General features: G+C 35.4%; 1 protein-coding gene across 5 annotated transcripts in view, besides 1 other annotated feature; it reads left to right on the plus strand.

Annotated features, from left to right (window-relative positions):
• PIK3C3 (phosphatidylinositol 3-kinase catalytic subunit type 3) overlaps nt 1-12,900 on the plus strand; it is a 132,597-nt gene that overhangs the window by 48,336 nt on the left and 71,361 nt on the right. For all 5 annotated transcript variants that reach the window (NM_002647.4, NM_001308020.2, XM_047437549.1 and 2 more), the window contains 3 exons: nt 787-972; nt 9,873-10,027; nt 11,907-11,997. In NM_002647.4, the coding sequence (NP_002638.2) occupies nt 787-972; nt 9,873-10,027; nt 11,907-11,997 (432 nt within the window). The remainder of the gene's footprint in view (nt 1-786; nt 973-9,872; nt 10,028-11,906; nt 11,998-12,900) is intronic.
• Nucleotides 7,854-7,903: an enhancer, noted in NCBI's record as "active region_13248". NCBI's record gives its function as "activates an Ori minimal core promoter by ATAC-STARR-seq in GM12878 lymphoblastoid cells {active_cell/tissue: GM12878}" and the evidence as "EXISTENCE:reporter gene assay evidence [ECO:0000049][PMID:35858748]".

Consider the following 12,900-nt stretch of genomic DNA (forward strand, 5'->3'; position numbering starts at 1 on the left):
CCTGGCCAAGAAGTGTGTACCTTTCTTAAAAGAGGACTTACTGTTTGTGCAATGAGTGATATACTCCAAGACAATTTGCTTAACTGACAGTCTTGTGAAAACTTCCGTGTGCTGCCTATTCAAGGGAGTGAGGTTGCAGAAAGATGTACAACCAGCCAGATCATAGACTGTTTGCTGCTGTTTCTGTACTTACCCATTTTTATGCTTCTGTTTTGAGGTTTTGTTGGATTGCCTATCTTTTTAAGTAGTTACTTCACAGAGATACGTACATACTCCACATCGTTTGAGTCTTCATGTTTAAGTATCTGCGAAAGCCGGTGGTCATACTCTAGGGAGGTGATCGAGAGTGAGGCTATTGGGAATTTCTGCCCTAGCATGGCTTCCGGCCCTTCGCTCAGTGGTTGCAGTATTTTCTGTTGTAAAATATAGGTTTTCTCTAAGGCATCTTAGAGTTCGTGAGAAATGCCTCAACTATTTCCATGTCTTGAGCCCTGCAGTATTTTAAAATAACAATAGCAAAATGAAGAAAAGCCAAAACAAATTAAAAAATTCATAGTGCTCGCAAATGATTTGGCCTGGAAAATATAAAGATACAGGGAACATGCTTTTTTTCTGTCCTGCAGTGCTTCTATAAGATCATATATATAACTTCATTTAGTGCTTACACAAGGAGTCTATCACTGACTCCGTGGCTCTGTCATTAGGACCTAGTGGAACTCTGCCTAGTCAACTTCTCTATCCCAGGAAATAGGCTGTTTCTAATTTTTAAATATTTTCTGATTTTAGGCCTTGACAAAATTCTTGAAATGTGTTAATTGGGATCTACCTCAAGAGGCCAAACAGGCCTTGGAACTTCTGGGAAAATGGAAGCCGATGGATGTAGAGGACTCCTTGGAGCTGTTATCCTCTCATTACACCAACCCAACTGTGAGGCGTTATGCTGTTGCCCGGTTGCGACAGGCCGATGATGAGGTGCATTATTATTTATTATTCTGCTTCAATGGGTCATTTTAAACTAGAGCCTAATTATAAACTATGTGTGTATGTGTGTGTGAGAGTGAGAGAGAGAGTGTGTGCACATGCAAGAGAGATTTTTAGAAGGGAAGAGGATATACTAGGTGTATTTTCAGAAGGAAAATTAAAATATGCCTCAGAGGACTCCTCTGTGAAATGAAAATTTACTTCCTGATCTGTTACGTGGTAGGACAGTCTCTCCCAGGACATTTACCTGGCAGCAGAGCTTGTATTGCTCTGTCTGGAAGAAGGAATTCTAGTGAAAAATGGTTTAATGCAGCACCAGCTAGGGAATAATTCAGATCTCCTCTATCAGTCAGTATACAACAAGCCACATTTAATTGTAGCCTTGAAAAGCCCTTGGGGCCTTTAAAGCTTAGAGATGCATGGTCATCTTCCTCTCCTTCAAACTCGCCTTTTAAACTTTCAGCTGATGACAATTATATGTATATGTAGATTTTCTGAAGGGGTTTTGGATCCTTGGAAAGCAAAGATTGCCAACTATATGCTGGCTATTTATATACAGTTATTTATCAGTTAATGACAGGGAAGTGTTCTGAGAAATGTGTCCTTAGGGGATTTCATCTTTGTGCAGACATCATGGAGTATACTTACCCAAACCTAGATGGTAAAGCCTACTACACACTGAGGCTGTGTACTCCTAGGTTACAAACCTGTATAGCATGTTGTTGTACTAAATACCTTAGGCAGTTGTAACGCAATGCTAAGTATTTGTGTATCTAAACATAGAAAAGGTACAGTAAAAACAGAGTATTATAATCTTATGGGATTACTGTCATATATGTGGTCCTGTCTTGGCTGAAGCATTGTTATGTGGCACATGACTGTTCATGTAAGGCCATCAGGGAAGGAAGAACACTTTTTTGACAAAAAGCATTGCTGGATTTTGGGCTTTAATAATTCTTTATAGATAGACTAATCCAGCAACTTGTTTTCTTAATTTTTATAGGGTGAATATGTTCTTAAACATAACCTAATAGTTTATGCTAGCCAGCAGTACTTTATGGGATGTGGAGTAACTTCTCAAGCTTCAATATATATAGCAATGTCGATCGCATAGAACAACTATTATCAAATACCTTTTTAAGAGGGAGGGGACAGTGAGATCATTTTGAATTAGTGGTATCTGAATTTCAAGAAGCAAATTAAATATTTATTAAAGTTGATCATTGTATGTGTGTATTTAATTATGGTGAAATTTAAACACTAAAGTAAATAGTATAATGAACCCCAACAAATAATTCATCTGTCTTCAGCAGTTGCCAATTTATAACCAATCTTGTTTCATCTGTAACACTGCTCAGTCTCTCCACCCCAACCCCCTAACCTCTACTAGATTACATCCTTCTGACTTCTGGCCTACTGGCTTTAACAAATCAGGGGGCTCCCATAACCCTCTCCTTGGGTGTGATAATTTGCTAGAATGACTCACAAAACTCAGGGAAACATTACTTACTATTGATTTATTATGAAGGGTATCCTAAAGGATACAGAAGAACAGCTAGATGAAATGATAATTTGCCAGAATGACTCACAAAACTCAGGAAAACATTACTTACTACTATTGATTTATTATGAAGGGTATCCTAAAGGTTGCAGATGAACAGCTAGTTGAAATGACACATGGGTTGAGGTCCTGAGCACAGGAGCTTCTGTCCCCATGGAGTTTGCAGTATAGCACCCTCCTGGCATGTGGGTGCATTCTTCTTCACCAACCCAAAAGCTCTCAGAATGCTGTGCTTTTCTGAGAAAAGCAGAAAAAATCAGAGTTTTTGTGGAAGCGCCATTACATTGGCATGATTGATTAAATCATTGGCTGCTGGCCGATTAAGTCAATCTTCAGTTCTCTCTGTTCCCCAGAGGTTGAGAGGGTAGAGCTTAAAGTCCCACCCTCTAATCACATGGCTGGCTTTTCTCTCAGCCAACCCCCATCTTTAGGGGCTTTCCAAAAGTTACCTCATGAACATAAACTCAGGTGTGATTGAAAGGGGCTTGTTAGGAATAACAAAAAAAATTTCAATGCCAGCATGCTATATTTTGTCCTTTTTATTTTAGCATGTCCTGAACTCTGTCACTGTAGATCTGCCTTATTCTTTCTAAATAACAGCATGATATTTTACTGTGAATTTTTTTGTTAATTTACTTAACCATTGGGCCTCTTTTATAGGCTGTTGTTCCCATTCTTTTCCTGTAACTGTATTTTAGTGAAGAGGTGTGTGGGGGAGGGTAGGTGGGTATGTTTTAAAAATCATATTCTTTTTTTTTTTTTTTTTTTTTGAGATGGAGTCTTGCTCTGTCTCCTAGGCTGGAATGCAGTGGCGTGATCTCAGCTCACTGAAAGCTCTGCCTCCCAGGTTCACGCCATTCTACGGCCTCAGCCTCCCAAGTAGCTGGGACTGCAGGTGCCCGCCACCACCCCTGGATACTTTTTTGAATTTCTTTTTTAGTAGAGACGGGGTTTCACCGTGTTAGCCAGGATGGTCTTGATCTCCTGACATCGTGATCCGCCCCCATCGGCCTCCCGAAGTGCTGGGATTACAGGCATGAGCCACCACACCCGGCCTTAAAAATCATATTCTTGAATAAACTGCTTGCGTTATAATTATTGAGCCAAAAGATATCTGCTTTTTACATTTTGCAGACAATCCCCATAAGTCTTTTTACCCTTGTCTTATACTTTTAAAAAATTTGTTCCTTTATAATACTTTAAATATATGACTAGACAAAGCTTTTCTTCTTTCCTTTTTTTTATAATTTTATTTACAGTTTTTTTACATTTGTTCTTTCCATGAATTTTAGAATAATTTTATCATTTTCTTAAAACTGCACCAGAATCTTAAGTGGAATTACATTATGTTTGCATATTATAAAAATATTGACACCTTTATGACATATCTTCCATCACAGTGGCATATGATTTTTTATTCACTCACTTATCAATTTTACTAAAATCATATACATTCTTAACATTTTGATTTATTCCCTGGCAATTATATTATTGTTACTATTATAAACTAGCCTACCCCATTTATCTTTTATTTACATTTCTTAGTTAAAAGGAAAACTGTTTCTGTTACAATATTTGTTTTATCTCATCACTTTATTGACTTTTCTTACTCTAATAGATGTTAGGTTGCTTCTTATATTTTGTAGGTATAGCATTATGGTAGCTGAAAAGCAGTCTAGTTTTTCATTGCATTAGCTAAAAGCTGCAAGTAATAATGGTGAATAAAAGTAGTTCAATATTCATCTTTGTCTTGTTGCTCATTGTGGGTACGCTTTTAGTATTTCACTCTAATGTGTGTTGCTTACTGGTTTCAGTCAAATGCTCTCATTTATGTTTAAAGTTTCTCCCTGTCTCTGTTTGTTCTTTTCTTTTTCTGTGTGTTTAAATCAAGAATGGCTTCTATATATTATCAAACACGCTTTTGACACTCGTTCATATCATATAGTGTCTCATTTTTATCAATCTACTGTAAGTATGCTGATACATTTCCTAATGTTTTATCAGCCATACACTTGTAAAATAAATCTCAATACTGTCTGAATTTGATTTGTTAATATCTGATTTAGGATTTTTTTAATGGCTATTCTTTATCTTGCATTATTTTGAAATTTTTAAATCATATTTCCTACTGCTGTGTAGTTCAAAAGGAGACAGATCCCATATTAGAATTTAATGAAGAAGTGGCATTTGAGTTGAAGGAAATGTAGAATTTTTACGTTTGGAGTTTATATTCCAGGTAGAGAAAGCAATATGAGCAAGAGCAAGGGAACTGAAAGTACAGGAAGAATGGAAAGTATGTCACTTAGACTGGAGTGTGGGATATATGTAGTAGCCATTGAGAGGCAAAATCGGAACCCATGTCTCTAACTGAAAATGCCTCTATGGAGAGTTATTCTTAATTCAATAAGAAATGGGAAGTCACTAAGTGATTTTGATATGGGACTTCACATTTGCACTTTGAAGCATTAGAATTAACTCACTCTTGAGAAAAATGGTGATCACTATCTAGTAAAAATTTCATAGCTCTTGGGAAGTATTTACAGAATTGCCTGAGATGGAAGCCTGGTTTTTTTTTTCTTTTTTGCTTTGTTTTACTCCAATGCTTATGTCCTTCATGCTTGGAGGACTTTTATATTTTTCAAGACATGAGTATATAATGAGAAAACAGACTCTGTACTTACTATTGAAGTTAATTCATTTTCATACAAATGAAGGAAAGTATAGTTTGAATATAGAATATGTAATGACCAAGAAATCAGATGATGATAAGTGACTTAGAAAAGTTTTCTACTGAATTTCCCCTTCCTGGGGAATTTAATACCGCAGCCTTTTTTATGTTATATGGTTAACTCTTTTCTGTAATTAGGAAAGCACACAGGTAATAGATTGAGCAGCACTCCGAATGAAGGCTGGCAGTGAAACTGAATTACTTATACCTCCAAAGAGGGATACCTGCCATTAAACATATTGTTTAATTTTCTGTTATATAATACTTTTTTCCTTAGGAAACAACATGTAATTATATGTATAGTTATTGGATGCCATGAATCTCAACTATGATAATAGAAAATCAGATGTTTATTGCTCCAATTAAAAAGTGGGTTTTAGAAACAACACTATAGAGAGACTTGATTTCCCTGACTCCTGACATTGACATATTTGAACAAGAATTAATAAGCCACATAATCTTCCATTTAATTTATATTTATGATGAAGTCATATGTATTACTCTTTGTTAGTGTTTGCCTAATGACCTTTTTAAAAATTATTTGGTGTGAGATACAAATTCTGAACAAAAGAGAAATATACAGTCATACCTCAGAGATACTGCAGGTTTGATCCAGACCTCTGCAATAAAGCAAATGTCACAAAGTGAGTCATATGAATTTTTTGGTTTCCTAGTACATGTAAAATTTATAAATATAATTTTGCTGTATGTTTATATAGTAAATTATACTGTAGTCTAAGTATGTAGACTACATTATGTAATGTACATTATGTAGACTACATTATGTAATGTACATTATGTAATGCTTACATTATGTAATGTACATTATGTAATGCTTACATTATGTAATGTACATTATGTAATGCTTACATTATGTAATGTACATTATGTAATGCTTACATTATGTAATGTACATTATGTAATGCTTACATAATGTAAGCATTATGTCTAGAAAAGCAATGTACATATCTTTTTTTAAAATATTGCTAAAAATTTTAACAATCATCTGAGCCCTTAGCAAGTTGTAGTCTTTTTGGTAGTCAAGGGTCTTGCCTTGATGTTTATGACAACTGAATGATCAGGGTGATGGTTGCAGAAGGTTGGGTTACCTGTGGCAGTTTCCTAAAATAAAACGAACGTAAACTTTGCCACACCCATTGACTCTTTTTTTCACAAAAGATTTGTCTGCAGCATGCAATGCTGCTTGTTAGCATTTTTTCCACAGTAGAACTTCTTTCAAAATTGAAGTCAGTCCTCCCTCTCAAATACTGTCACTGCTTTAACAACTATGTTTATGGAGTATTTTGAATCTTTTGTTGTCATTTCAACAATGTTCACAGCATCTTCACCAAGCATAGATCGCATCTCAAGAAACTACTCTTTGCTGCTCATCCATAAGAAGCAACTCTTCATCTGTTCAAGTTTTAGCATGAGATTGCAGCAATTCAGTCACATGTTCAGGCTGCACCTCTAATTCTAGTTTTTTTGCTATTTCCGTGACTTCTGCATTTACTTCCTCCACTGAAGTCTTTTTTGTTGTTGTTGAGATGGAGTCTCCTTCTGTTGCCCAGGCTGGAGTGCAGTGGCATGATCTTGGCTTACTGCAACCTCTGCCTCCTGGGTTCAAGCAAGTCTCCTGCCTCAGCCTCCCGAGTAGCTGAGATTACAGGCGTATGCCACTGCGCCCACCTAATTTTTGTATTTTTAGTAGAGACAGGGTTTCGCCATGTTAGCCAGGCTGGCCTTGAACTCCTGACTTCGGGTGATCCACCCACCTCGGCCTCCCAAAGTGCTGGGATTACAGGCACTGAAGTCGTCAGCCCCTCAAAGTTAGCCAAGAAAGTTAGAATCAACTTCTTCCAAACTCCTGTTAATCTTGCTATTTTGACCTTCCCCCATGAAGCTCAAATGTTCTTAATGACATCTAGAATGATGAATCCTTTCCAGAAGCTTTTCAATTTATTTTGCCCAGATCCATTACAGGAATCACTGTCTATGGAAGCTATGATCTCACAAAATGTGTTTCTTAAATAATAAGACTTGAAAGTCGAAATGACTTCTTGATTTTTGGGCAGTAGAATGGATGTTGTGTTAGCAGGAATGTAAATGGCATTCAACTTCTGCATCTCCATCGGAGCTCTTGGATGATCAGGTACATTGTCTATGAGCAGTAATATTTTGAAATCTTCTTTTCTGAACAGTGGGTCTCAACAGTGGGCTTAAATATTCATAAACCATGCTCTAAACAGATGTGATGTCATTCAGGCTTTGTTCTTCCGTTTATAGAGCACAGGCAATGTAGATGTAGCGTAATTCTTAAGGGCCCTAGGACTTCTGAAATGACGAATGAGCAGTGGCTTCAACTTAAAGTCACTGCCTACGTTAGACCCTTACCAAGAGAGTCAGTCTATGGTTGTGAGAGTCTTAGATGGTGTCTTATTCTAAAACAAGGCTGTTTCATCTGCACTGAAACTTTGTGGTGTAGTATAGTCACCTGCATCAATAACTTGTTGCAGTTTCTACATCAGTACTTGTTGCTTTGCTTTGTGCTTTTATGTTATGGAAATGACTTCTGTCCTTAAATCTCATGAACAAACCTCTTTTAACTTCCAACTTTTCTTTTGCAGTTTCCTCACCTTTCTCAGCTTTTATAGAAATGGAGAGAATTAGGGCCTTGCTCTGGATTGGGCTTTCACCCATGGGAATGTTGTGGCTAGTTTGATCTACCCAGACCACCAAAACTTCTATATCAGCAATAAGGGTGTTTACCTTTCTTTTCATTTGTGGTTCCCTGGAATGGCATTTTTAATATCCTTCAAGAACTTTTCCTTTGCATTCGTACCTTGGCTGCTCAGTATGAGAGACTTAGCTTTCAACCTATCTTGGCTTTTCCTGTGCCTTCTTCACTAAGCTTAATCATTTCTAGCTTTTGATTTAAAGTGAGAGACATGCATCTTTTCCTTTTACTTGAACACTTATTGTGCACTGTAGGTTTATTAATTGGCCTCATTGCAGTATTACTGTGTCTTGGAATAGGGAAGCCCTAGGAGAGGGAGAGAGACAGGGAAACGGCTGGTTGTTGGATTAGTCAGAACACATTCAACATTAATTGATTAAGTGTGCCATCCTATATGGGTATGCTTTGTGGCACCCCTGGTTACAATAGTAACATCAAAGATCACTGATCACAGATCACCATAACAGATAAAATAATAATGAAAAAGTTTGAAATATTATGTGAATAACTACAGTGTGACACAAAGACATGGAGTGAATGCATGCTGTTGGAAAAATGATGCCAATAGACTGCTTGGGTGCAGGGTTGCTACAAACCTTCATTCTGTAAAAAAAAAAAAAAAATGCAATGTGTGCAAGGTACAATAAAATGAGTTATGCCTATAGTATTAAATAAGGAAATATGGGTTGCTGGCAGGTGGTCTCTGTCCTCCTGGTTTACAAAATAGTGGAAAAACCAAGAGTAAGTTATTACAGGTGCTATAGTTGTTACAAATAGGAAAGTGTGGACCATCAAATATTTACAGGAGACTTAACCTGGTTTGTGAGCTTAAAGAGGAGACTGAAGTTGAGTTGGTAGTCCCAAAGTCTCAGAATTTTCTGATTATGAGTTTCAAGTGTCTAACAGGGTGAATGACAATTAGAATTGGAAGATAATACGTACATTTAAAAATTTTTTGAGCTTTGCAATTTTCTTCACTTTTTAGTTATTTTTAAAAGTAAAATTTTAAAAAGTACATACTTGTGAAGAGGACAAGTATGTCAAGACAACCTTTATAGAGAAATACTGGAAGCATTTCCATCCTAAACATTAAAGAGTTTTATTATTATTAAGGGAAAACTCAGTAAAGTGAAAGCTACTTTGTTGACTGACACCTTTTTAGTCCAAGTTATCTCATTGATTGTCACTTATGGAAAATTTAGTCTTAGCAATTTGTTTTGTTCAAATCTCTTGGTAGTTGGCAGGAATAGAAAGCATGTCTCTTAATCAACTGTTTAAATGTCTGTTTTACAGGATCTTTCATTTAAGAAGCAATCCAAATTCTCTAAAACTTGAGCTTTCAGGAAAAAAGAAAACAGATGATTTTTAAAGATTCTAACCAGTAGTAGTCATTAAACAGAAGTGCTTTGAAAACTTGAAAATTTGGAATTTCTTGTGTAATATTAAACATAGAATGCACTCTTCTGATCCATTACTGAAAAAAAGGATCCTTCTATAATTTCTTAGTTTTATGCAAAGCATCTTGAATCCTTCCCACTTTTTTTTTTTTTTTTTTTGAAACTACTACCTAAAACACGTCATTTACTGGCCACTTAGTCTGTGCCGGACACTATACTGTGACTTTCTTTTATTTACTAATTTAACCCTCATGCTCTTCTCTAAGGTTTATATTATGATGTCCATTTTAAAGATGAAGGGGCTGTGGGGCACAGAGAAGTTAAGTAATTTGGTGACGTGCCAAAAGTAATACAGCTGAAAAGTGATAGATAAAAGTAAAATGTTTACTTGATATTTAGGAATAAATTATGTCTGTAATAATTTTGCATTCTTTTCCTAATATTACTTTACTTTTTTTTGTTTTCCAGGATTTGTTGATGTACCTATTACAATTGGTCCAGGCTCTCAAATATGAAAATTTTGATGATATAAAGAATGGATTGGAACCTACCAAGAAGGATAGTCAGAGTTCAGTGTCAGAAAATGTGTCAAATTCTGGAATAAATTCTGCAGAAATAGATAGGTATGGATATCCAGGGAGGACATATTTTCTAGTTTGTTAATTTTTCCCTTTTCAAATTGTTTTCTCTTTTCCTTTCCTTAGATGTACCAAATGCTAGTGTTACTAATTTTGAAGTTTTACTAGTGAATATTGCATGTGTACTCACAGCACACAGATTACTATATTAGGGAATAGTGTTTTGCAAGCTATCAAGGCTGAATACCTGAGTTAAAAATCTTGACTCTGCCACTTACTAGCTGTATAAACTTGCATAAATTACATATTCTCTATGTGTCTCCGGTTTCTTAAGAGTGGTGATAGCAATATTAACTCATCTTTAAGGGTTGTTTAATCATTAAGTGAATTAACACTCATAGGAAACTGTCTAATACATAGTGCTTAGTAAGTCTTAGCTACTATTACTTATTTATGTTAAAATGAAATAGAAGGAGCAGGTGTGGTGGCTCATGCTTGTAATCCTAGCACTTTAAAGGCTGAGGTGTGCAGATCACTTGAGTCAGAAGTTCAAAACCAGCCTGGCCAACATGGTGACACCCGGGAGGTAGAGGGTGTAGCAAGCTGAGATTGCACCAGTGCGCTCCAGCCTGGGCGACAGAGCGAGACTCCGTCTCAAAAAAAAAAAAAAAAAAAAAAAAGAAATGGATGAAATAGAAGGACGGAGCATGCTAGTGAGCTCAAATAGTTTAATAAAAAGTTGCATTTTTTGTTAACTGTTTACACCTCTTTAGTAGTTAAACTGAAAATAATAGCATATTATTTGAATTAAAAGTTAGCTATTAACAATATAAAAATTAGGAGTTCCCAAATGTATATCTGACACTGTACCACGTGTCCACACACATTATCGTGTTACAACTGTCCTCTGAGGTACGTATTCCTGTCCCTAATTTAGAGATGGACTTCAAGTAAATTGCCCAAACTTTTATGTATCTTGCAAATGGTAGAGTTGACTCCAAATCCCACATTTTTTCTACTTTTTGCTTTTCAGAGAATCTTAAAATTTGCAAATAGTAGTAACCATTGGGTGAAAAATCTTAGCCTTAGTGATAGGAAATGGTTTTGTGAAGATCATTAGGTTTGTTATTGACAAAACCAGGTCTAAATTTTAGACTTCCTGAATCAGTCCAGTCATTTAAATTATTACATGAGCTCAAGATTGGATTTTTGAATTTTTCTTTATGATTATGGTTATGCTATGCTTTATGTTGTGTGTTTTATTTGGAGAAGAACCGAAAAAGAGGAAAATAATTTTTCTTTCCCAGGTTACTTTATATTTTTCTATTTTTAAGGGAAGATGCTCTTTATATTTTATCTCACTCTATATTGGAGGTCTTCAGTCTCAAGTCATGCTTATTTACTTTCTTCCCTATGCCATGTAGAACGTTTTGTAAGTAAAAGTCTATTCAGAATTTTATGATGGGGTGAAAACTGTAACCTAGTCTTTTCCAACTTACGGTCTACTAGTCACTAATTTTGTGTGTTTCTTTTTTAGTTCTTTTTTTAAGCTCTGTTATGTTTTTAAGAAGATAAAAGCTCTATTTTATTTTTAAAAAGAGAGAATCTTGGCCAGATATGTTTGGGAAATGCTAGTTTAAAGCTAAATGGGCTTAAACAAACAAACAAACAAACAAACAAACAGCACTTACCCAAACCTTTAATATGCAGACTTGCACATAAATCTCCCAAGAGGCATTACCCATAATCTTTGACCATGCGCTTTTTCCAGAGTACAATGTGACTCTAGTGTTGCACAGAACACACTTTAGGAAGTGTTGCATTAACTAGACACAATTGAAGTGAACTGTTCCATAAAAAATTGTGCGTTCTCTTATGGACAGAGTATTTTACATCTCAGTGATCTCTTTTATTACTTTTTCAGCTCCCAAATTATAACCAGCCCCCTTCCTTCAGTCTCTTCACCTCCTCCTGCATCAAAAACAAAAGAAGTTCCAGATGGCGAAAATCTGGAAGTGAGTACAAAGCTTTTCCAGCTTCCTATAGGAGAGATCCTACTGCATGAACATTTTATACTTGTCTTTAAAACCTCAATTTTGATTAAATAACTAAATATTACAACTTTATTAAATAACTTACTTTATGATGCACGTTTATAACTTTTCCCCCTCAGCATAAAGTACCAGATAGTCCTCAATTTGAGTCATTTTATTGGTGCTTTGGGCATATAAATGGATTCATATGCAATATGAAAATAAACTAGGCTTAAATATTTTATTAGGGAAACCTAGAATATTTACTGTCAATGTGTTTATGAACCTTACTGTAATTGTTGTCAGTGCTTGTGATTACATCGTAGAAATGTATAACTTTGATATTAGAGTTAATACACTAAGCAACTTTTTAACTATACATATAAGTAGACACATTTTTGAGATAAAACAGGCCTGTTAGACTAGTGCTACTCTGAAAAGTACTTTGGAAAGTGCATTGCAGAAGCTGATGTAGTACATATTTTTTAATTTGTCTATAAGACTTCTAATTTAAAAGAAATCATTAATATCTCTGATGTTGAAAACAAGTAACACATGTTTTATTATTAGAACAGTTCAAGTGATTTTTCAGTGTGTGTATATATATTACTTTTAGTCAGATTTTAGGAGTAATTGTTAATGGCTGAATGAATCTTTTAACTATTAGCTATTGATTAAAGTTTGTATGTTTGCATATCTTTCGGTATAACAAAATATTCAACTGAAAAAAGAATTTTTAAGTTACAGAATCATAGAATCCTTAGATAAGCCCTTTAAGAAGCCAATCTGCTACAGTCTAAGTTTTCCCTTTCAGAGCTAAGATATTGATTCATTGATTCAGTCATTCATTCATTCACATATATTTTTTGAGCTCTTAACATGTAT

Source organism: Homo sapiens, chromosome 18, assembly GCF_000001405.40.
Source record: "Homo sapiens chromosome 18, GRCh38.p14 Primary Assembly".
Taxonomy (NCBI): Eukaryota; Metazoa; Chordata; class Mammalia; order Primates; family Hominidae; genus Homo; species Homo sapiens.